The sequence below is a fragment of the Homo sapiens genome, chromosome 14 (assembly GCF_000001405.40).
Source record: "Homo sapiens chromosome 14, GRCh38.p14 Primary Assembly".
Taxonomy (NCBI): Eukaryota; Metazoa; Chordata; class Mammalia; order Primates; family Hominidae; genus Homo; species Homo sapiens.
Genome location: NC_000014.9, coordinates 50,169,386 through 50,195,940, shown reverse-complemented (window position 1 = coordinate 50,195,940; position 26,555 = coordinate 50,169,386). Strand labels below are relative to the sequence as shown.

The following is a 26,555-nucleotide window of genomic DNA, read 5'->3' as shown; positions in this document are numbered from 1 at the left end:
ATTCTCCTGCCTCAGCCTCCCAGGTAGCTGGAACTACAAGTGCCCACCACCATGCCTGGCTGATTTTTGTGTTTTTAGTAGACGGGGTTTCACTATGTTGGCCAGGCTGGTCTCGAACTCCTGACCTTGTGATCTGCCTGCCTCGGCCTTCCAAAGTGCTGGGATTACAGGCTTGAGCCACCACACCCAGCTTCTTTGTTTTTGAGAGCTTGAGTCTCCCTCTGTCACCCAGGCTCACTGCAGCTTCAAACCCCTGGGCTCAGGCAATCCTCCTGCCTCAGCCTCACAAGTAGCTAGAGCTATAGGTGCCTGCCACCATGCCCAGCTAATTTCTAAATTCTTGTAGGAATGGGGTCTTGCTATGTTGCCCAGGCTGGTCTGGAATTCCTGGCTTCTAGTGATTTTCTTGCCTCAACCTCCCAAGATGCTGGGATTACAGGTGTTGGCCACTGCACCAGGCCATAAACTATTTTTTTTTAATAAGTCATTCCTTTATTTGAAGCATTTTTCCATGTCCTAAATCTTCACCTTTTGAGAGTTTAAAAAAATCTTCATGTGGCAGGATTTTCAGATCCCCTTGTTATATTGCTTTTAGACTGATTTCTAAAACTGTGAAGACAATAGTCCAGATTTGGTCTGACCAACAGAGTATATTGAAATGCATGTACGTATCCTTCATTCTATATGCTATTCTTTAATAATTTCAGCATTAATATTTTGGCACCACGTTACTCTGTGTACTTGTTGAGTCTGCAGATTTCTAAACTCCCGAGGACTGTTCCACATGAAGTACCATTATGTTAGGTCTTTGATTTCTCCAACTTGTGCTTGTTGATTTTTTGTTATTGTTGTAAGAATGAACGTGAATTTATCCCTAGAAAACTTCATACTGTTATTGAGGCTATGTTCCAGCATATGTAGATATTTTAAAAATTGAATTCTGTCATTCAGCATTTTAGATACTCTACCCAGGTTTTTGTAAAGTGTACAAGTCTGATAAACCTTGAATTAAAATTATTTAGTAAAAATGTTGAAAAGGCCAGGTGCCTTTGAATCTGAGAGGCGGAGGTTGCAGTGAGCCGAGATCACGCCACTGCACTCCGGCCTGGGTGACAGAGCGAGACTCCATATTATTTTATTTAATTTATTTATTTTTTATTGTTGAGACAGAGTCTTGCTCTGTCACCCAGTATGGAGCGCAGTGGCGTGATCTTGGCTCACTGCAACCTCTGCCTCCCAGTTTCAAGCAATTCTCCTGCCTCAGCCTCTCAAGTAGCTGGGATAACAGGTGCCTGCCACCATGCCTGGCTAATATTTTTGTATTTTTAGTGGAGATGGGATTTTACCATGTTGGACAGGTGGGTCTCAAACTCCTGACCTCAGGTGATCTATCCACCTCAGCCTCCCAAAATGCTGGGATTACAGGTGTAAGCCCCCGCGCCCAGCCAATACTCCATCTTAAAAAAAAAAAAAAAAAAAAAAAAAAATTGAAAGGGATTATATAAGAAATGAGATTTCCAACATATGTTATTAGTGGCATTCTTCTAGGTTAAAAGTTACCACTTTTCTTCATTCCTGCCTTTTAGTTAGCTATTATTTCACATTTTATTTAATTCATGGGTCAACAAACTTTACCTATAAAGGGCCAGGGGATAAATATTTTAGGCTTTGTGGGCCATACGTCTTTCTTGCATCTACTCTTCTCTGCTCTTGTAGCATGAAAGCAGCCATAAATGAATGAGCATGGGCTATGTTCCAGCAAAACTTTATTTACAAAAACAGGCTGCAGGCTGGATTTGGCCTGTAGTTTGCTGGTCCTTGTTTCAGACATTCCTGTCATGATCCCCTATTTGTCACAAGAGACTGTCATATGCTTAGCTAAAATCCAGATGACTTGGCCGGGCGTGGTGGCTCACACCTGTAATCCTAGCACTTTGGGAGGCCAAGACGGGCAGATTGTCTGAGCTCAGGAGTTTGAGACCAGCCTGGGCAACATGGTGAAACCCCATCTCTACTAAAATACAAAAAATCGTCCAGACGTGGTGGCGATTGCCTATAATCCCAGCTACTCAGGAGGCTGAGGCACAAGAATTGCTTGAACCTGGGAGGCGGAGGTTGCAGTGAGCCGAGTACCACTTAACTCCAGCCTGGGCAACAAAGTGAAACTATGTCTCAAAAAAAAAAAAAATCCCGATGACTTGATATGTGGGTCTAGTTATGTAACCCTAAGTAATGAGATTGTATGATGTGGTATGATCTTAGTATATCCAAACTGATATCTAGAGATCACTAGTTCAAGAGCTCACAGACCATTTGTTTAATAAATTATTTGAATATATGGTTTCTAGGGATATCTTTAATTTGCCAGACAGAGAACTTGAGAATCAACCCTATTTCTTTACAGTTAAAAATAAAAATAACATGTGGCTATATGAGGTATTCTAGCATATCAAAGATTGCTGAGAATTAGATGATCATAGGAAAGAACCATAGAATTTAACTTCTAGTATATAAGTTACTACTAATGAAAATAGTATTTAAAACTGGAAAAACTGAACATAAATGCTTAAGAAGGAAATTGATGTTTAGGAAAGGTAAAGGCCAGGCACAGTGGTTCACGCTTGTAATCCCAGCACTTTTGGAGGTTGAGGCAGGAGGATAGATGGAGCCCAGGAGTTTGAGACCAGCCTGGGTAGCATAGCAAGACATCATCTCTACAAAAAATTTAAAAAAAGAAACAAAGAAAGAAAGGTGAGATACCCTGGGGAATATAGCAAGACCTCATCTCTACTAAAAATAAAAAAAATATTAGCTGGGTGTGGTGGTGCATCCCAGCTACTTGGAAGGCTGAGGTGGGAGGATTGTTTGAGCCTAGGACATTGAGGCTATAGTGAGCTATTATTGTGCCATTGGGCAACAGTGGACAAAAAAAACCAAAAAAAAGGTGAGAGAATAAGAGGGCACAAAGCTGCTCTGAGGAAGCTTAGTTCACCAGATCTAGATATACTAGCAGTTGAGTTCTGTATTTTCTTTCTTTTGTTTTTAACCTATTGAATTATACTTTTTTTTTTCCTTCTGAGACAGACTCTCACTCTCTCAACCAGGCTGGAGTATAATGGCGTGATCTTGGCTCACTGCAACCTCTGCCTCCTGGGTTCAATCCATTCTCCTGCCTCAGCCTTCTGAGTAGCTGGGATTACAGGCACTTGCCACCACGCCTGGCTAATTTTTGTATTTTTAGTAAAGACAGGGTTTTGCCGTGTTGGCCAGGCTGGTCTCGAACTCCTGACCTCAAGTGATCTGCCTGCCTTGGCCTCCCAAAGTGCTAGGATTACAGGCATGAGCTACTGCGCCTGGCCTTTGTTTTTGTTTTTGTTTTTTTTTAAAGACAAGGTCTTGCTCTTTCGCCCAGGCTGGAGTGTAGTGGCGCAATCTCTGCCCAGTGCAACCTCTGCCTCCCGTGTTCAAGCGATTCTCCCACATCAGCCTCCTGAGTAGCTGGGATTACAGGTGCGTGCTACCATGCCTGGCTAATTTTTTGTACTTTTAGTAGAGACAGGGTTTCGCCATGTTGGGCAGGCTGGTCTTGAACTCCTGACCTCAGGTGATCCATCCACCTTGGCCTCTAAAGTTCTGGGATTATAGGCGTGAGCCACCCATGCCTGGCCAGAAAAATCTGAAGCTAACAGGAGTGGGGTATGAATATATTTTCTCTTTCATGGTAGTATTACTCCATCTGTTTCAAGAGCTAGCTTGCTCGCTCCTTTTTTTTTTTTTTTTTTTTTTTTTTTTTTTTTGTGACAAGGACTCACCTAAGCCGGAGTACGGTGGTGTGAACACGGCTCACTGCAGCCTCAACCTCCAGAGCTCAAGTGATCCTCATGCCTTAGCTTCCTTTGTAGCTGGGACCACAGGCTTGAACCACCATGCCTGGCTGTGTTTAAAATTTTTTTGTAGAAACTGGGTCTCTCTTTGTTGCCCAGGCTGGTCTTGAACTCCTGGGCTCAAGCAATCCTCCCAGTTTCAGACTGGTGACCTTCTAGTGAATAGGGTCTCTAGGTTTGTTTTTTAAATTTTTGAATTATTTGCCATCCATTTATATTTACAGATCTAAAAATTTTACATAAAAATGTAAATCCCAGACTTTTCATGAAAAAAGAAAATCAGAATGCCTAACAGAAAACAGCTGGCACTGAGCAGCACACTTCCTCTTTAGGTGCATGTACCTTCCGGTTTACCATAATCCCCACTGTTTCTTATATATTATAATGTTACTTGCCTGACCCCTGTAGCATTTAAATTCAGGAACTTTGGTATTATGTGACCAAAAGAGTTTTAAGAATGGAACTCTGGAGTGGGTGGTAGAGAAGGTAAGTCATAGAGGAGGCCCCACTGACAGAATGGTGTATCAGAAGCCAAGAAGAGAAAAATTGTTTGGAGCTGGGGGGTTTATATGTGTTTTTTCTTATTTAGAGATAGGATCTCATTCTGTCACTCAGGCTAGAATGTGGTGGTACAATATTAGCTCACTGCAGCTTCGAATTCCTGGGCTCAAGTGATTCTCCCACCTCAGCCTTCAGAGTAGTTAGGACCGCAGGTGTCTACCAGCATACCTGGTTATTATTTTTTTTTACTTTTGGTAGAGATAGAATCTTGCTATATTGCCCAGGCTGGTCTTGAATGCCTGGCCTCAAGTGATCCTCCTGCCTCGGCCTCCCAAAGTGCTGAGATTGTAAGCATGAGCCACCATGCCTCGCCCTGAGAGTTTTAAGAGTTTTAAGAATGAGAGAATGGTCAGCTGTGTCAAAAACTAGAGAAAACAAGTAGGAAGACTAAAACACACCATTAGATTTGACACTAGATCAATAGTGAGAGCAGTTTTAATATAGTAATGGGCTTGCTAAGTGAATGGGAGCAAGAAGTTACAGCTAGCAAGTATGACCTACTCTAAAAGGGTCTCTGGTGGGGAAGAGAAGAGGGTGGTAGCTCTTCTGTGTGTTTTTATGTCTTATGTCTTCCTTTATTTTGCATGTCTGTTTGAAATCAGAGTTCATCACCAAATTCCCTGTGTAGCCTTACTGGTTTCTTTAAATTTAAAGTGGCTGGGAAGTGGGGATGATGGTCTCCAATGACAAGAAGGTGGATTGCATGGAGTAAGCAGTGGGGAAGGGAGGGATTTGAGAGTGTCACAGAACATGAGATTAGGAAGGTGGGTTGGAGTTAAATTATGAATGGCCTTTATCCTAAAGAAGTTAGGATTTTATGCAGAAGGCAATGAAATCCAGTATCATTTTTATGTATCATTTATTTTTAGTAACATGATTTTAGAACTGGGGTTGGGAAGACCTGTGGCAGGCAGATCAAATTATGAAACTTGTGTATCTTTTTAAGAGATGGTGATTGTTTAGTGGAGTAATCTAAAGCCTGCGGTAAGATGGAGAGAGCTGACCAGATTTAAAAGATGCTTATAAGATATTTCTGAGTTAGATTCAAAAAGATTAGGAAGGCAGAGTTCATGTTTACTTTATTAGCATATTTTACCAACATGTGGTACAGTTTATGGTGATCAGTAGATGTTTTTCAGAATGAATGAATGAATATCTGTTATTGTGTTGTCAGAATTTCCTCTCATCCCTTTGAAGTTTTTACTTTTTGTAGTTTCCTTTTCAGGGTATACCTTTATGCTGAACTCTCTGGGTACGTTTCGGTCAGTCTTAAATATATAATTAACTAGGTCCAATCATTTTTTTTAAAAAAAAGTATTATTAATTATAAAATGTATGGTCACAGCCAGGCGCAGTGGCTCACACCTGTAATCCCAGCACTTTGGGAGGCTGAGGCAGGTGGATCACTTGAAGTCAGAAGCTCGAGACCAGCCTGAATAACATGGTGAAACCCCGTCTCTATTAAAAATACAAAAAAAAATTAGCCAGGCATGGTGGCGTGCACCTGTAATCCCAGCTACTCAGGAGGCTGAGGCAGGAGAATCACTTGAACTTGGGAGGCGGAGGTTGCAGTGAGCTGAGATCATGCCACTGTACTCCAGCCTGGGTGAGAGAGCAAGACTGTGTCTCACAAAAAAAAAAAAAATAAAAAATAAAGTATAGTCAACTTTCTTTTTCACTTTGATTTATAGCTAGTTCTTGCCTGTTGGTTGACCTAAGTCCATGGTAGCATTTCTGAAAGAAGAAGTGGTTGCTACAACAATTTAAGCATCTGTGAGATGTTTGGGTTTAGCAAATGAACGTAATAGCAGTGGTCATTGTAGTAAATGTGCATCAGAAATGCATCGCACTGATCTATCGTGTGCCTCTACCATAGTAGCATTTCACTTTTCTCCTTTTAACCCTACTCAAATATGTACTGTCATCCTTATAATATGGCAAGGAACTACCATGTTGAATACCTACTATTTGCTAGATGTAGTAGTATGCATTTTATATACATTACCACATTGAATTCTTCTTATCAGCTACATTTTACTCATAAGGAATGTGACTTTCAAAAGAATAAATGTGTTCATAATCATAGTCGAGTAGTGGCTGAACTGGGATTTTTGGCTCGGGTTATTGTTCCCCAAAGACAGGCTTGCTTTTTTTTTTTTTTTTTGCTATTATGTGTGTGTGTGTGTGTGTATTACAGTATACATATATACATATACATATGTATTAGTACATATTTCACCATTAGTTCATATCTCCAGAAATATTTATTTTGCCATACTCGATTTTATTTGAATATTTCCCACCTTCAACAACTTTTTTTCCTTTTATTCTAGGTTTTATCATATAAATTTACTTATAATACACACAACTCATTGTGTAATATTTGTGTGTGCGTGTGTGTGTGTGTGTGTGTGTGTGTGTGTGTGTGTGTGTGATGGAGTCTCGCTCTGTCGCCCAGGCTGGAGTGCAGTGGTGTGATCATGACTCAACTGCAGCCTTGACCTCCCAGGCTCAAGCAATTCTCCTGCCTCAGCCTCCCAAATAGCTGGGATTACAAGCGCCTACCATGACGCCTGGCTAATTTTTTGTATTTTTGGTCGAGACAGGGTTTCACCATGTTGGCCAGGCTGGCCTTGAACTCCTGACCTCAAGTGATCCTCCTGCCTTGGCCTCCCAAAGTGCTGGGATTACAACACCCAGCCCTGTTTAATAACGTATAGATTTCAAGTACTTTGAGGCAGTTTTTATAAAAGTAAAGAAAATAAATTTATACATTATTGATTTCTGTTTCTCAGGTTTTGATGGACATGTTTGATCAGGATGACATAGGTTTGGTTTCTCTCTGTGAAGATGAACCTAGTTCTTCTGGTGAATTAAACTACTATGATCTTGTCAGAACTGAAATCGCAGAAGAAAGACAGTATCTACGGGAATTAAATATGATCATAAAAGTGTTTCGAGAAGCCTTTCTTTCTGATAGAAAGCTGTTTAAACCTTCTGTAAGTACCTTTTTGGGTTTGAAATTCTGTGTACCCCAAAAAACCAGACCAGCTTAAAATCATAAATAGTCACTTTTTTTTATTTTTTTGAGACGGAGTCTTGCTCTGTTGCCCAGGCTGGAGTGCAGTGGCGTGATCTCAGCTCGCACCACTGCAGCCTCCACCTCCCGGGTTCAAGCAATTCCTGCCTCAGCCTCCTGAGTAGCTGGGATTAGAGGCATGCACCACCACAATCGGCTAATTTTTTTATATTTTTAGTAGAGATGGGGTTTCTTCATATTGGCCAGGCTGGTCTCAAACTGCCGACCTCAAGTGATCCACCTGCCTTGGCCTCGCAAAGTGCTGGGATTATACGCATGATCCACTGCACCCAGCCCATAAATAGTAACTTTAAATACTTTATGAGTACATTAAAAATACTTTCATGTATTTGTGGGCTTTATAAACATGTGAATTGTTATATAATAGGTACAGTGACAATGAAAATTAGGCACAAAATTAGAAGGAGGTTTATACTGGGGTGAAATCATTTTCCGTTATGCAGTTCTGATATTTAGAGTCATTCATTTGGAGGTGGTGAAAAAGATGTATGGTCTAGGAAAGGAAGACCTCTGCATTTTTCTGTCTTTTGGTAAGTACCTTAAGGCAGTAGTTTAAAGTTTTAGTTTGAAGCTCAGAATACCATGGGGTTAAAAAAAATAAAGTTTTAACGGTGGAACTTTTAAAAATAAAAGTTTATGCAGAATGCCATGTTTAACAAACAAAAAAGTTTTTTTTCTTTCTTTTATCACATGATTTATTTTTCCATGTCTATGTGTTTGGCCCACACTTTAAAAATAATTAGTCTTGACCGGGTGCAGTGGCTCACGCCTATAATCCCAGCACTTTGGGAGGCCAAGGCAGGCAGATCACGTGGTCAGGAGATCGAGACCATCCTGGCTAACACGGTGAAACCCCGTCTCCACTAAAAAATACAAAAAAGTTAGCCGGGCGTAGTGGTGGGCGCCTGTAGTCCCAGCTACTCCGGAGGCTGAGGCAGGAGAATGGCGTGAACCTGGGAGGCAGAGCTTGCAGTGAGCCGAGATCACGCCACTGCACTCCAGCCTGGGCGACAGAGCGAGACTTCTTCTCAAAAAAAAAAAAAAAAAAAAGTAACAATAATAATAATAATAATAATTAGTCTTGGCCAGGTGCAGTGGCTCATGCCTGTAATCTCAGCTGTTTTGGGAACCTGAGACAGGAGGATTGCTTGAGGCCAAGAATTTGAGACCAGCCTGGGTAACAGAGCAAGACCCAGTCTCTACAAAAAAATTTAAAATTTAGCTGGGCATGATGGCACATGCCTGTAATCCCAGCTGCTGGGGAGGCTGAAGTGAGAGATTTGCTTGAGCCAGGAATTTGAGACTATAGTGAGCCATGATCGTGCCACTGCACTCCAGCCTGGGCAAAAGAGCAAGACCTCGGCTCAAAAAAAAGATACTTAGCCTTTGTCTTATTTATCTTGTACCTCCTAACTTCCTCCACAAAATAACTACATCGTGAGTAAATAAGAGTGACACTCAGACACAGGTGGTTGAGTATTTAAAGTTAGGAACAGATTTAGCTTTTCTCATTATATTCCAAAAGAATGAGTTTTAAATGATAATCGAAAGTGTTTTAGTTGGCAATTACTTTTTTTCTTTTGGATATATGTTTAGTTTAACAATGTTTATAATAACTCCTACTGGGAATACTATCATAAGTAGTCAGAACTTTATGTTTTTCAAAGTACTGTTCTATTTTATTTGACCCTTATAACAATCCTGAGGGATAGAATGGGCAAATATTGTCATCTCTACTTTACTTGTAAGGAGATTGACTTTTTTTTTTTTTTTTTAAATATAGATGGGGGTCTTGCTATGTTGTTCAGGTTGGTCTTGAACTCCTGGGCTTAAGCAGTCTTCCTTCTCAGCCCCCCAAAGTGCTAAGATTACAGGCTTGAGCCACTGTGCCTAGCTGGAAATTAACATCTTAATCAAGTTAGTTATAGAGCTTAATCTTGAATGTGGCTTCTTTTCTACCACGTTATAATTGGATTTTGTCTCTAGTGGTATGAAGAATAAAAACCTAATAAATGCTGGCAGCTAATATTATCTTTGTCTTTTTGTGTCCCATCAGTTTTCATTCCTCAGGAATTAATTTTTATGGGTCTCTTTTCACTGGATTAGTGCTGATATGACAGAAAATGTCTATTTTAATACTAAAGGGTCAGATGGAAGAGTGAATCCCTTTTTTATCTATCTCTGTATCTACTATAATTTTTTTTAGCATTAAGTAAAATATAAACTTTTGAGGGAAAGACTATCTAAAATCAGAGCATAGTACTCTGCAAATATTAAAGAAGTGAATGACTTAAAAATGATCTTAAGTTACTCCTTTTGCCCCTCATCCTATGTTTTCAAAAAGCTCGCATTTCTGGAAGGCCTAATATGTGCCAGGAGCATTTTACAGAAATCATCTAATTTAACCCTAAGACCCTGATGAGCTGGGTATTAGCAGACCAAATGTGTGATAACGGGCAAATTACTTAACTGCTCTATGCCTCTGTTTCCTCATTTGTAAAATGAGGATGATGATAGTACCTATCTAATAAGGATATTAGGTTATTACATTTCAAGTGCTTAGAAGAGTGCCTAGAATATAATGTGCCCAATACATGTTAGTTGTTATTATTGTCCTTTTCATTCCTAAGCCAGGGTCATTCATCTGGCATGTTGTAAAAGGGAAAAACAGTTTTTCCTCTCTAATCTTTTTTTTTTTTTTTTTGAGACAGAGTCTTGCTCTGTCATCCAGGCTGGAGTGTAATGGTGCAGTCCTGGCTCACTGCAACCTCTACCTCCCGGGTTCAAGCGATTCTCCTGCCTCAGCCTCCCGAGTAGCTAGGATTAGAGATGTGCACCACCACGCCTGGCTAATTTTTGTACTTTTGGTAGAAACGGGGTTTCGCCATGTTGGCCAGGCTGGTCTCGAAATCCTGACGTTAGGTGATCCACCCACCTTGACTTCCCAAAGTTCTGGGATTATAGGCATGAGCCACCGCGCCTGACCCCTCTCTAATCTTCACACTCAACACAGAACATTTCTGTGACAACGTATGTGAGGATTTTTTCCCCATACACCAAAGTAATTCTCCTGTGTACACCAACTAGGTGTCCTATAATTTAGCTCAATTTTGACATTATTTACCTCTAAATAGTGTCAGATCTCACAGATTAAGGACTCAGTCCCAACACGACTGTCTCACACTTCAGGCGCCAATTGAAAGTCCCAGGTTGTGAACTGTGCTCCGAACTGATCAGTTATAAATTGGAGTTCCCATGACCCCCTCCTTGGGTTCCATTAATTTGGTCGAACAGCTCACAGAAATCAGGGAAACACGTTTACCAGTTTATTATGAAGGACTTTAAAATGATACAGATGAAGAGATGGACAGGGCAAAGTATAGGGGCACAGAGTTTCCAAGCCCTCTCTGGGCAAGCCACCCTCCTAGCACCTCCACAAGGTCTGCAACCAGGAAGCTCATCAAGAGTTTTTATGGAGCTTGATCTCTAGCCTCTCACCCCTGCCCTTTTTTTTTTTTTTTTTTTTTTTTTGGAGACAGGGTCTGGCTCTGTTGCCCAGGCTTAAGTGCAGTGGCACCATCTTGGCTCACCATAACCTCTGCTTCCTGGGCTCAAGCAGATCCTCCAGCTTCAGCCTCCTGAGTAGCTGGGACTACAGGCACATACCACCCCACCCGACTAATTTTGCATTTTTTGTAGAGATGGGGTTTTGCCATGTTTCCCAGGCTCTTTCCCCAATTTTTTAGAGGTCAGTGGGTGGGGCTGAAAGTTGCAACCCTCTGATCCTTTTTCTTTTTCTCATGAGTCAGTTTGGTTTCAAGTAACCCTTCAATCCTCTAATCATCTGGTCTTTTTGGTGACTGGCCCTATCATGAGGTTATCTAGGGGCCCTACTGTAAGTAACCTCATTAGCATAAACTCAGTATTTATCAAAGGTACTCATTATGAATAACAAAAGACATTATTATCACTCAGGATATTCTTAGCGTTTTAGGGGCTCTAAGACAGGAACCAGGGACAAAGACCAAAAATATGTTTCATATTATACCACATGTGGTGGAGCCAGGATCCAAGCTCAGGTCTGTCAGGTTCCAAAGCCCGTGATGTTTCCATTATAAGATGCCAGAGTGAATAATAGTTGGCCATAACCGGGATGGTCAGTCATATGATGTGTTTGTGTTCAGAGGGCTTGAACCTGTCTTATCCTAGATATATGGCTATCTGCCACATATGATGTTTTAGTCAGTGATAAGACTATAAATACCCATATATATGACAGTAATCCTGTAAGATTATACTATATTTTTACTGTACCTTTTCTCTATATAGATATGTTTAGATACACAAATACTTAACATTGTGTTACAGTTACCTACAGTATTCCATACAGTAACATGCTGTACAGGTTTGTAGCCCAGGAGCAACAGGCTATACCTATATGGCCTAAATGTTGTAGTATATCATCTAGCCGTGATATTTGCACAATGACAAAATCGCCTAACAGCGCATTTCTCAGAACATACCCGTCTTTAAGCAGTGAATGGCTGTAATTCACAGACGGGAGCTTGGATGAAATCTGTAATTCCTTCTCAGATCCAGGAGATGGGCCCTAAATTGTGAAACCAGATTGTAACAGGATTAGGAGTTATCTTCATTCTCATCCCAGCTCTTACCATTAATCTATAAGACTATATAGCCTAAGCTATAAGTAAAACCTAGGGCTCTGTAAGACCTTGATCAAGTCTTTTAGCATCTCAGCCAGTTTTAAAACACTCAAATGCCAGAATTCTTTATGTAAAAAGTAGCTTAGAATCATCCACAGTAGGAGGTTTTAGATTTAAAAAAACTATCTAGAATCTATATTTTGTAGTATTTTTATTGTCTGTTATCCAAGAGATTTTTAAAATTCTCTTCCTGTTCATGATTGATTTTTACTGTCTTGGAATATATTAATTTGAGATTCAATGAAGATATACCCTTAACTCTTATATTGTTTCTTTTTTTTTTTGTACAAGCAAGTCTCTTTATTTCCAAAGTACGTTGACCTCTCCAACCCAAGTTAAAAGAATACACAGTATGATTCCATCTTTTAATATATTAACATCAAGATGTACATGTTTGAAAATGGTTGGAATTTTATACTGGAATAATGCATACTAAACTATTAATAGTTTCTACCTCTGAGGGTCATGGGTGTAAGGGGGGCATGAAAGTAAACATTCATATTTTACTCTCTCTGTCTTGTGTTTGAATCTTTTATAATGGGAGTGCATTCACATGTAATAACTTTTATTTTTACAAAGAATGAGTTTTCCCAAGAGCAAAATGCAAAAATTCTGCTATAGCTTGTTGACATTTAATGGAAATATATTGCTTTATATAATATATGAATTGTTCAGAAGTGATAATAGCTTTAATCATGCTCCCAATAAAAGATATGCTAGTTAAAGAAATTCTATAGTTTATTCCATAAATTTAAAAACATGTAGAAAACGAGTACCACCCATAAATTAAATGATGTATTTGGTGCAGGGCAGGTAAGCCCCAAAGTTGGGGCTTAGCTCGGGACAGTTCTTGGCTTTGTCTAAGAAAGAAGTCAAAGGCATGACAATGGTAGGAACCTCTGCTGAAGCGGCAGCGTACAGCAGCAGCAAAAGTACTGTTTCTTGTGGAGCAGGGCTATTCCATAGGCAGTCTGCCTCGAGTAGCCTATATTGCTCTTTATATTTAGTAATTTTTTAGCAGAATTCTCAATCTCACATTTCTTAACCTTCCTTCTCTTTTTTCAGGATATCGAAAAGATTTTTAGTAACATTTCAGATATACATGAATTGACTGTGAAACTTTTAGGTTTGATTGAAGACACAGTTGAAATGACTGATGAAAGCAGTCCTCATCCCTTAGCTGGCAGCTGTTTTGAAGATTTGGCAGAAGTAAGTTTACAAAACTACTTATATTCTCATTAAAGCCCTAAATGCTGTAGTAAGAAACTTAGAGATGAGTCTTGGCAACATAGTGAGACCCCGTTTCCATAAAAAAGTAAAATAATTATCCAGGCATGGTAGTGCCCATCTGTGGTCCCAGTGACTCAGGAGGCTGAGGTAGGAAGCCTGGGAGATCAAGCCCATGATTGTGTCACTGCACTCCATCCTGGGCGACAGAGTGAGACCCTGTCTCCAAAAAACAAAATTTTTTTGTAAGATATTCTTTATGAAAATTAGAAGATACCACTGGCCATTATAAAAAGATATTTAAGATTTAACTGATAACAAACTAAAATCACATTGCCTATATAGTGACACTTTCTTTATAGTGTGTTTATGGCAATATTTATAGTGAAAGTTTATATACTAGAGTAGTATATAAACTAGAGTAGTAACATTTAGGTTTTTTTTTTTTTTTTAGTGGTAAGTATATTCAAGATGAAGGAAGATACATTTTATTGACCATAGCTCTTTACCTTCTATGGATTTTAAACTTAAAGTTGGAAAGAAGCTTTATATTATTTTAATGTTTTCCAAAGTAAAAATCATTTTATCTTTTAAATGACTATAAAAATAATGTAGCTCATTGTAAAAATATTCAGAAAAATAGATATATAAATTAGATGAAAGTCACTTTATTTTATAACACCCAGAGATAACTTATCCTTATATATTTCTGTGCATACATACGAATGTATGTGTGTTTGCAAAAATAGGATCCCACTATTTTATAACTTACTGTTTTTACTCTGTATATCATAAACATTGTCCATGTTAATGTATATACTTCAACACAATTTTTAAGTATAAATAATGTGATGTTATATGGAGACACCATAACATATTTTAACTATCTATTATCCATAGGTTGTAGAGTTTTTTCCTTTTTTTTTTTGTTATTGTAAACAACACTGCAACAAACATATTTGCACTATGCCTTGATATTCTAATCATTTTTTTTTTTGACATGGAGTCTCCCTCTGTCACCCATTCTAGAGTGCAATGGCACGATCTCGTCTTACTGCAACCTCTGCCTCTCAGGTTCAAGCCATTCTCCTGCCTCAGCCTCCTGAGTAGCTGGGATTACAGGCGCCTGCCACCACGCCCAGCTAATTTTTTGTATTTTTAGTAGAGACGGTGTTCCTCTCTGTTGGCTAGGCTGGCCTCGAACTCCTGACCTCATGATCCGTCCGCCTCGGCCTCCCAAAGTGCTGGGATTATAGGCATGAGCCACCGCGCCCAGTCATATATTCTAATCATTTTTAAGGATATATTCCTGGAAGTGGAATTGTAGTGCTAAAGACTAGATACATTTTTAGAACTTGGAAACACTTTGCCACGTTCACTTCCAGCTAAGTTCCAGTGTATGTAAGCTTCCTTCTTTCTTCACCCTTTCCCTTCACTAACTCGGTATTACCTTATTCTTTTTCTTTTTAATTCTTTTTTTCAAAATTTGTTTTGTTTTCATATCGGTTCTGCAGATATCCCATTAATTTTTGCCAGTCTAATGGGAAAAGAAATCTTTCTTCTTCTCTTCTCTTTTTTCTTTTCATTTCTTTCTTTTCTTTTGAGACAGGGTTTCACTCTGTTGCTCGAGCTGGAATATAGTGGCACAATCATAGCTCACTGTAACCTCGAACTCCTGGGATCAAGTGATAATAATCTGTACCATATTGGTAGAAAATATATTCTTTTAAACCTAATGCTTTTTCTCTTTTTAAAAAAATAGGAGCAAGCATTTGATCCTTATGAAACATTATCACAGGACATTCTTTCACCAGAGTTTCATGAACATTTCAATAAATTGATGGCCAGACCTGCAGTTGCTCTACACTTTCAGGTAAACTTAAATTGAAGGTTTTTTTTTTTTTTTTTTTTAATAAAGCAAATAAATATCTCACTATTTTATCCTTCAAATATTTGTAATTCTGGAATCCTCGTAATCCTTCAAATCTTGTTCATTCTAAACCTGTTTTGGATTATCTTCTGTTTTCTCTCTGGAGTTCTGTCTGTTCTTATTGTAGAAATCTTTTATAGTACAACATCATGAGTACTGAATGACCAGAAGAATTTGGCACATACTAGATCTGGGGTATAAAGATGAATTTGGCTGGGTGCAGTGACTCATGCCTAGAATCCCAGCATTTTGGGAGGCCAAGACAGGTGGATCACTTGAGGTCAGGAGTTTGAGACCAGCCTGGCCAACATGGTGAAACCCTGTCTCGACTAAAATTGCACAAGTTAGCTGGGCGTGGTGGTGAGCTCCTGTAATCCCAGCTACTCAGGAGGCTAAGGCAGGAGAATCACTTGACCCGGAAGGCGGAGGTTGCAGTGAGCCGAGATCGCGCCACTGCACTCCAGCTTGGGTGGAATAGTGAGACTCTGTCTCAAAAAATAAATAGAAAAATAAATAAAAAATAAAGATGAATCTGGAGTGTGATTTCAGGATTATGTTCCCTATAGGAGGAAGATTTGGAGAAATCTTAAAAAGTTGAGATAACCTCAACCTCCTATGTACTCATACTGATTTTTCTATGAGGCCTACAATTTAAAGGAGATAAATACTGTATTGAGGGAGAGTATGCAAGTTAGTTGGTTCAGGAATACACTTAGATAAAATGAAAATAAGTGGAGAGATACAAATAAAATTTTATTTTTACTATCTCAACACTAACAACAAAAGTTATGTTGGCATAGGTAATACTTGGCTAAATATGTAAAACTTCTACATCTAAACTGACTTTTCCAGCCAGACGTGGTGGCTCTTGCCTATAATCCCAGCACTTTGGGAGGCTAAGGTCAGAGGATTGCTTGGACCCAGGTGTTTGAGACCAGCCTGGGCAAAATAGGGAGACCTCATCTCTACAAAATATAAAAACTTAGCCGAGTGTGGTGGCGTGCACCTGTGGCATGCCAGGAGAATTGCTTGAGCCTGGGAGGTCAAGGCTGCAATGAGTCATGATCACGCCACTGCACTCCAGCCTTGGGTACAGAGTGAGACCCAGTCTCAAAAAAAATAAAAATAAAAAATAAACTGGCTTTTACCCCTTGACGTTTGAATATGGTAAAAATCCTTATAGTCCTGAAACAAACAAGCAAACAAATGAACAAACCTTTCTTCACTCTAGTAGAATAATTAACTAGAGTGAAGAAAGTTTTTTCATTTCCTCTCTCATTTTTTCTTTGCAGCCAATTGTCTTTATATTATTTTTTACCATTCTTTATGAAAACACTACCATGTATGTTTTAATCAGGATATAAATTGCCTTTGACAAGTAACTTAATTGCCAAATCCAGTGGATATTTTTATTTCATACTTAATGTCTGTAGTATTTGTTACTGCTCTTATCTCTTGGTTCCTGTATACCTGAAGGCTGGGCGTGATGTCTCATGCCTGTAATCCCAGCACTTTGGGAGGCTGAGGTGGGTGGATCGGATCACCTGAGGTCAGGAGTTCCAGACCAGCCTTGCCAGCCTGGCGAAACCCTGTCTCTACTAAAAAATGCAAAAATTAGCTGGGTGTGGTGGCATGCACCTGTAATCCCAGCTACTCGGGAGGCTGAGGCAGGAGAATTGCTTGAACCCGGGAGGCGGAGGTTGCAGTGAGCCGAGATCGTGCCACTACACTCCAGCCTAGGTGACAGAGCAAGACCCTGTCTCCAAAAAATATATATATATATATGTGTGTGTATATGTGTGTATATATATATATATATATATATATATATATATATATATATGCACACACACACACACACACACACTAGCGGGCATGGTGGTGCACACCTGTAGTTCTAGCTACTACAGAGGCAGAGGCAGGAGGATCACTTGGAGGCAGGAGGATCACTTGAACCCAGGAGGTGGGGGTTGCAGTGAGCCGAGATTGCAACACTGCACTCAAGCCTGGGCTACAGAGTGAGACTCTGTCTCAACAAAAAAAAGAAAAAGAAGACTGAGACTGGGTGATTTATAAAGAAAAGAGATTTAATTGGCTCAGAGTTCCACAGGCTCTACAGGAAGCACGGCTGGGGAGGCCTCAGGAAACTTACGATCATGGCGGAAGCCAAAAGGGAAGCAGGCACGTCTTCACATGGTCAAAGCAAGAGGAAGGAGCAGGGAGGTGCCACACACTTTTAAACAACTAGATCTCCTGAGAACTCTATTACAAGAACAGCATTAAAGGAAGAAATCCACCCCCATGATCCAGTTACCTCCCACTAGGCCCCACCTCCAAAATTGGGGATTACAGTTGAACATGAGATTTGGACGGGGACACAAAATCAAACCATATCAGCTCCTGTGATACTACATGTTCCCAATTTTCGTCTTCTCTGATTTCTTCTTCTAAGTCTCTTAATTATTATAGCTATTATCCAACTTCTGTTATCAGCCCCTGTTTTTCTGTTCTGTGCTCTCCTTGGGTGACTTCATGTCTATATACTGGTGACTTCTTATTTGTATTTCCAGGCCATCACTTTCTTTTAAGCACTGTGTACCGTGTACATATGTGTATGTATCTATACACTTTCATATAACCAGCTGCCTTGAATTGATGCACTTGGATACCCTAAACGCACTTCAAATATGACATGTTTAAAACTGAACTTACCATCTTCTCCCTGCCTTCTGTACTATAAATTCCCATTGTTTATTATCTTCCACTTCTCTATTGTCAAAAATTTGTTATCATGGAATACAAATTATACTTAATTCTCAAAATTACTTCAAGAGAGGAATATTTTTAAAGTTAACTCATATATTCATATAAAGTATGCATTAAATACACAGTCTATAAGAACTTTGGATACTCATTAAAAGCACTCAACACATTTCTTGTTTCAGTCCTATTTTATTAGGAATTTTTGCTGTGGAATTTGAATGTTAAAGGGCCCAGTTATTAATAAAGCTGTCATCCTAGATATTCAGTGAAATTGGAAGAGTTAGATGAAATCCTTTTTCGGGCCAAACTCAATTGTTTTAACTTAAAAAAAAATTCATTCAGTTTAAGATAAAATAATGCTTCCTTAATAAAACTAAAAACAAAAAGCATCTTTAGAAGCTGTGTAGCGTACTTTATTTATTTATTTATTTAGAGACAGGGTCTCACTCTGTTGCCCAGGCTGGAGTGCAGTGGCACAGTCTCAGTTCATTGCAACCTCCGCCTCCCGGGTTAAAGCGATTCTCCTGCCTTAGCCTCTTGAGTGACTGAGACTACAAGTGTGGACCACCACGCCTGGCTAATTTTGGTATTTTTTTGGTAGAGACAGAGTTTCACCATATTGGCTAGGCTGTTCTGTTGACCATGAGGCACCATACCTGGACTGTGTAGCAGACTTAAAAAAATAAGATTTGAAGTTAGAACTTAAGGCTTTGGGCCAATTAATAGTTTTGTTTGTTTGTTTGCGGCGGAATCTCGCTCTTTCACCCAGGCTGGAGTGCAGTGGCGCGATCTTGGCTCACTGCAACCTCTGCCTCTTGGGTTTAAGGAGTCCTCCTGCCTCAGCCTCCTAAGTAGCTGGGACTACAGGCGCATGCCACCACACCTGGCTAATTTTTGTATTTTTAGTAGAGATGGGGTTTCCCCATGTTGGCCAGGCTGTTCTCAAACTCTTGACTTCAGGTAATCCTCCTGACTCAGCCTCCCAAAGTGCTGGGATTACAGGCGTGAGCCATCACGCCCAGCCCCAGTTAATGGTTGTGTTACCTTGAGCAATTCACTTAATCTCTGAGACTCAGTTTGCTCATTTGTAAAATGGTGATCATCATAATATATACCTCTTATAGTTATTAGGAAATTAAATGGTAATGTATATATAAAGCATAAGCATAATGTTTGATGTGTATTAAATACTCAAATGTAGCTCCTGTTATTATCAGAGGACTCCTTACACTGTAAATACATGCTACAAAAATTTTAGAATGCACTTTATCAGGCATTTTAGTACAAATAAGCAAAACAGTTGATCTTGTAGACTAATTTTGAAGTTTCATATTGGTTCCAGTTCAAGCACTGTATATAAAATATCCAGAATAATTCACTATATTAATTAGTTTAATACTGTCTTAGTCTATTCAGGCTGCTCTAATAAAATATCATAAACTGGATGGCTTATAAACAATAGAAATTTATTTCTCACAGTTCACATTTAGGAAGTCCCATATCAAGAGGCTAACAGATTTGGTGTCTAGTTTGGTGCCCTAGTGAGGGTTTGCTCTTCTGGTTCATAGATGGTGCTTTCTTGTTGTGTCCTCACATGATGGATAGCACAAACAAGCTCCCTTAGGCCCCTTTTATAAGGGCACTAACCCCGTTCACAGGGGCTCTGCCCTCATATCCAATCACCTCCTAAAGGCCCCATCTCTTAATACTGTTGCATTGGGGATTAGGTTTCAATATATGACTTTTGAGGGAACACAAACATTCAGATCATAACAAATGTGAAAATGAATTAATCTTTAGGAAAATTGGTGGCACTTTTTGTGTATCCTAGTAAGAAGTTTGGTTACTGGATAATAAGTCTGTTGAAAAGATTATAATTTAACAAAATGTGAAAATTATGGTAATATTTATGAAGATTTTTTTAAAGCAGCATATCAGATTCTTTCTCACATTTTATATTGGTGTGGTTGGTGTTTTTCTTATGGGGAGAAATACTAGTAAGTGAACTATATAGACATTTAAAATTAACATGAGTTAAATCCATTATAAATTTTAGAAAACCATTTATTCTACAGTAGTTTCCAAAACTGGGGTATACCTATCCCAAGCTATACACTAAGATTTTTCAGGATATATAAAGGCACAGAGAGCTTTAAGGGAATCTGTTTCTAGTCTTCGGAGATCTTGTTTATGTTTTTTGCATTGTCTTTTCCAAAGTCTCTTACTTGTTACCTTTTGCTGTTATGTATTTCCCATTATGCATTGATCCAAGATGTAAAAACCTCTAGGGCACCAAACAGGAAAAAAAAAAAAAAAAAAAAAAGTATTACTCCTATTGGAGAGTTCACTGAGTACCAAGCAAAAGAGTTCACAAAAGAATGTTATAGGGGGATGATAGTAAAAATTCTTGGTAGCCAAAATGTCATCTATCTATGTTATGTCATATCTATCTGTCTAAGAATTAAGAAGTGATATGGTTATCACAAAGATTTATGTTAACCTTATTGTAAGTACTTCATCATCATTTGGGATAAAGAAGAGGAGAAGCTTGTAAAGTTCTCATACCTTGATGTAATATGTCAGAAGCAGTTGTAGTTTCCTCCAGAGGCTTCTAATCCTTGAGACCATGACATTAATAATGTTTGTTTGAATTTAACAATAAAGTTTGACTTCTGACAAACTGAGCTGATGTTGCTGTTTATTTTGACAGTGAAGATCGACTTTGTCAATTAAGTTGTATGACAGACGTTTTTCATAAATGAGCTAAATCTGAAAGTTATTCAATTATTGTTTAGTGAAATAGTTATAAATCACATTTACAGTATACAGCATTCCCTGAAATGCATCTTTTGTAACTATTTAAATTTAAAACATTTTAAAATTGTGCAGGAGAGTACATAGCTTTTCAGAATTCCTTTAGGGTATATGGAAGCCAGAACATAAGCTGTAGAGGATTATTGTGAAAGCTATTTTAGCCACATAAAAGAAAATTAATGTATATATTTCTCTAATAACTTAAAGGAGGAAAGGGAGAAAAGAACAACTTGATAGCACTTCAGTTTCAATATAGAATATGCATTCTGTTGTAGTTTTGATAAGTCTGTATCTCAAATTTTTAGTAGACGTTTCTGTTAGGCACTGCTGTTGCATATCCTTGATGTCAGAGACATACATACTGTGATATCTTTTTGCTTTGCAGTCCATTGCTGATGGTTTTAAAGAGGCAGTTCGTTATGTCCTTCCACGTCTTATGCTGGTGCCAGTGTATCACTGTTGGCACTACTTTGAGTTACTAAAGGTAAGGTTTTATAACAGAATCTCAAAGTACTTATCTAATAGAAGAGTTTACTTTTTAAAATTAATTTTGGAGACACACAGTACCAGTCTTTTAATTCTTATTTTATGTAAGTATTTAATAATTTTTATATGTAACATTGCTCTAAATTTCTATCTTGTTATCTTATAAAGGAAATAACTTTTGAAGTTAATATTTTTTTCTGTGCAGTGTTGTATTCTTCCTCTCTTAGCTGGGACCCAAGCAACACATTAAAAATATATATATAACTTAAAAAAAATGACTCTCTTCTCTATTTTAATTAACTAGCCAACCACTAGTCCTGGTCACATTGGCTAAGAGGGTTTGGAGGCTAGTGATTAATTGGTGGCAAAAGTAGCTGTGGCTTAGGATGAGTCAGGCCATTATAGTCAATGACCTGATCTTAAATGCAGACCTAGTAGCAAGGATTTTTAAAAAGCAATCATCTAGGTAGGGGAAAATTTTTTTTAAATTATATGGTCAAACCAGCATTTTTAAATGTTGGCCAATATTAGAGGGCAACTCTAAGACTAATGATAGGACCTCTAATAAGACATGAACCTTATTTTTAAAAATTAAGGCATCCAAATATATGCTTATATATTATTCATATGAAGCCAGCATATCTTTTGATGAGTTCTTTATGGATCCACTAGTATCCATGGAGACTTACACAATGAAGTTGCTCATCTATTTGTGGATAAAAGCTGACTACTGCCGGGCGCGGTGGTTCACGCCTGTAATCCCAGCACTTTGGGAGGCCGAGGCGGGTGGATCATGAGGTCAGGAGATTGAGACCATCCTGGCTAACATGGTGAAACCCCGTCTCTACTAAATGTACAAAAAATTAGCCGGGCATGATGGCAGGCGCCTGTAGTCCCAGCTACTTGGGAGGCTGAGGCAGGAGAATGGTGTGAACCCGGGAGACGGAGCTTGCAGTGAGCAGAGATTGTGCCACTGCACTCCAGCCTGGGCGACAGAGCGAGACTCCGTCTCAAAAAAATAAAAAAAAAAGCTGGCTACCTCCAGCATCAAATGCTGTGGGTAGTAGCACTCCATAAAAAAGAACTTAAAAAAGAGATAAGTATTCATTAGAAATAATCATATATATTCCTTGCCTAGATGCCTACAAGGTATACATAGAATTATTATGGCTTTTATTTTAATGTTACTACCATGGATTAGACGGAAAAAGTCGTAACTGTCTATCTAAACCAACGATGTGGTATCCTAAAGGAGAGGTACGAAATAATCAAGCAGAAAGATACTTTGCTTCTAAAGAGCAGTTAAAAAGTTGGAAGCTGGGCATGGTGGCCACAAGCCTATAGTCCCACCTACTTGGGAGGCTGAGATAGGAGGATCACATGAGGTCAGGAGTTCAAGGCCAGCCTGAGCAACATAGCAAGACCCTGTTAAAGAAAAAAAAATTGAGAAAGAACATTTTACTGAGCAAGATATGTGGGAATTACAGTTGAAAATGGGCCATAATCTGAAAGTAGACAGAAGTTCTTAGATGTTAGCTAGAGTCAGTGAAAATCAGTAGCAGTAATAGAGAGAAATGAATGGATTGTCACCAGAAAATCTCCATCTTTCACGTGCTCACTTTGGTAATCACTCCTGCCTTTAAAAGATCAAGGGAAATTGTGTAAGGAATTAGAAATGGGAAAAGAAACACTCACTGATGAGTACTCATGCTTGTCCAAAGGCAGCAGATACTCTTTATTACTAGGTAGTAGTAATTTTGGGCTTCAAAGAATGAATAAAGAGAGCCAGGTGCGGTGGCTCATGCCTGTAATCCCAGCACTTTAGGAGTCCAAGGGGGAGGGAATGACTTGAGGCTAGGAGTTTGAGACCAGTCTGGCCAACATGGCAAAATCATGTTTTTAGTCTCTACTAAAAATACAAAAATTAGCTAGGGGTGGTGGCACATGCCTGTAATCCCAGCTACTCAGGAGGCTGAGGCAGGAGACAGCTTGGACAACAGAGCGAGACTCCATCTCAGAAAAAAAAAAAAAAGGAATGAATAAAGAGAAACTACCCATGTCTGATCAATGAAACTGTAACCGTTAGAATAAATATGGAATATACTCAGTTTTAATTAATGCACAGCAACAACAAGAACAAATAGAAATGTGGAATGGAAAGACAAGCCTTAGAAGAGATTAGAAATGGCAAAAGATTTGAATCACTTCACAAAACAGGATATCCAAAATGGCAGTAAATGTGTATTCAAACCATTAATAGTCAAGGAAATGCAGTTAAAACCACAGGATACCACTACATACACATCAGATTACAGAAATTTGAAAGTCTGAAAATATCCATAAACAGCAGCATGAACTATTTGCATTCTGTTAGGAATGTAAACTGTATAACCCACTTTGGAAAACTGCTTGGCATTACCTTTTAAATTAAAAAATATGTATACTGTCTGACTAGGCAATTCCACCCTTGAATATATACTCTAAAGAAACAAAATGCAGGCACATGTATACCAAGAGAAATGTACAAGAAAGTCTGTAGCAGGTGTCAGTAATAGCAAATCCTGTTTGCCAACCAGAAAAGGGTAAATAAATTGTGGTTCATTCAGATAATGAAAGAAACTTACACTAGAACAATACACAACATCAATGACGCTTACAAATAAACTTTGAGAGATGATAATATTTCATTGGTGTGTTATACCATATTTTATTTATCCATTCATCTGTTGATAGACCGTTGAATTTTTTTTTTTTTTTTTTTTTTTTTTTGAGATGGAATTTTGCTCTGTCGCCTGGCTGGAGTGCGGTGGCATGATCTCGGCTCACTGCCACCTCTGCCCCCTGGGTTCAAGCAGTTCTTCTGCCTCAGCCTCCTGAGTAGCTGGGACTACAGGTGCATGTCACCATGCCCAGCTAATTTTTGTATTTTTAGTATAGACAGGGTTTCACCATGTTGGCCAGGATGGACTCAATCTCTTGACCTCATGATCTGTCCATCTTGGCCTCCCGAGATGCTGGGATTACAGGGGTGAGCCACCGCGCCTGGCTGACTGTTGGATTTTTTTCTACCTTTTGGTTACTATAAATAATGCTTCTGTGAATGTGAGTGTACAAATATGTCTTTGAGACCTTGCTTTGAATTATTTTATGTATATACCCAGGAGTGGAATGGATGGATCGTATGGTAATGTTATCTTTAATTTTTTGAGTAACTACCACACTGTTTTTCATAGTAATGGCACCATTGTACATTCCTACCAACAGTGCACAGGGTTCTGATTTCTCCACATCTTTACCAAACCGTGTTAATTTCTTTTTCTTTTTCTTTTTTTTTTTTGAGATGGAGTTTCACTCTTGTTGCCCTGGCTGGAGTGCAATGGCACGATCTTGGCTCACTGCAACCTCCGCCTCCCAGGTTCAAGCGATTCTCCTGCCTCAGCTTCCCGAGTAGCTGGGATTACAGGCGCCTGTCACCACACCCAGCTAATTTTTTGTATTTTTAGTAGAGACAGGGTTTCACTATGTTGGCCAGGCTGGTCTCGAATTCCTGACCTCAAGCGATCCACCTGCCTCATCCTCCCAAAGTGCTGGGATTATAGGCGTGAGCCACCCTGCCTGGCCTGTTTTTTTTTTTTTTTTTAATAATAGTCATCCTAATGGATACGAGGTGGTATCTCATTGTGGTTTTGATTTTAATTTTCCTAATGACTAGTAATGTTGAGTATCTTTTATATACTTGTTAACTATTTGTATATCATCTATTTTATTGTGTTGTTTTTGGGACAGGGTCTTGCTCTGTTACCCAGGCTGGAATGCAGTGATACAATCATGGCTTACTGCAGCCTTGACCTCCTGGGCTCAGGCGACCCTCCCACGTAGCTAGGACTACGGATGTGTGCTACCATGCCCAGCTAATTTTTAAATTTTTTGTAGAGATAGAGTCTCACCATGTTGCCTAGGCTGGTCTTGAACTCCTAGGCTCAAGCAATCTGCCTGCCTCAGTTTTCCAAAGTCCTGGGATTACAGGCATGAGCCACCATACCTGGCTATATTTTTTTTCTTTGGATATAAGAATTATGTTATAAAGTTACTTATAAATCAAGAAGTGATTTTTTTTCTTTTCCTTCTTGCATGAAGATTGAATTATATGTTAAGATAATAATCTAAAATTATGTTTAAAAAGCAGTTTGTAGAAATTTATCTAAAATTTATCTTAGAAAGTGGGGTAAGGTGCCTCATGCTTATAATCTCAGCGCTTTGGGAGGCCAAGGTGAGAAGGTCACTTGAGCCCAGGAGTTCAAGACCAGCCTGGGCAACAAAGTGAGACCTTGTCTCTACAAAAAAAAAAAAAAAATCAGATTAGCTGGACATAGTGGTGCATGCCTGTGGTCCCGGCTACTAGGGAGGCTGAGGCAGGAGGATTGCTTGAGTCCAGGAGGTCAAGGCTGCAGTGAGCCATGTTTACGTCAGTACACTCCAGCCTAGATGACAGAGTGAAACTCTGTCTTAAAAGTAAATTAATAAATAAACAAAATTTATCTGAGAAGAAAAATGAAAACAGTAGTTTGTGATCAACCTTATGGGGCTTAAATTTGAAAAGAACAAAAAAGTATTATCTATAAAGTGAATATATTATAGATATATATTCTATATATCTGCCATGAGTTAACTATATATATGTAACAATATATATTGCCATGCAATATAAATTGTTGCATGGCAACAATAATATAACATTATTCCAACAATGTATATAACAATATATATTGCCATGAGTAACAATAAACCAACAATGTACTTTGTTTGTTTTTTGAGGCACGGTCTCACTCTGTCACCCAGGCTGGAGTGCAGTGGTGCAATCTTGGCTCACTGCAACCTCTGCCTCCCAGGTTCAAGTGATTCTCCTGCCTCAGCCTCCCAAGTAGCTGAGATTACAGGTGACCGCCACCACACCCAGCTGATTTTTCTATTTTTTTTTAGTAGAGATGGGGTTTCACCATGTTGGCCAGGCTGGTCTCAAACTCCTGACCTCAAGTGATCCACCTGCCTTCGGCCTCCCAAAGTGC

At 39.0% G+C, this 26,555-nt stretch overlaps 1 protein-coding gene across 11 annotated transcripts in view; it reads left to right on the top strand.

Moving 5' to 3' along the window:
* Nucleotides 1-26,555, top strand: part of SOS2 (SOS Ras/Rho guanine nucleotide exchange factor 2) — a 114,753-nt gene that overhangs the window by 35,942 nt on the left and 52,256 nt on the right. For 8 of the 11 annotated variants that reach the window (XM_047431723.1, NM_006939.4, XM_047431716.1 and 5 more), the window contains 4 exons: nt 7,241-7,444; nt 13,335-13,478; nt 15,259-15,369; nt 21,389-21,487. In XM_047431723.1, the coding sequence (XP_047287679.1) occupies nt 7,241-7,444; nt 13,335-13,478; nt 15,259-15,369; nt 21,389-21,487 (558 nt within the window). The remainder of the gene's footprint in view (nt 1-7,240; nt 7,445-13,334; nt 13,479-15,258; nt 15,370-21,388; nt 21,488-26,555) is intronic. The other 3 variants (NM_001411020.1, XM_047431717.1, XM_047431715.1) reach the window with 1 other exon arrangement.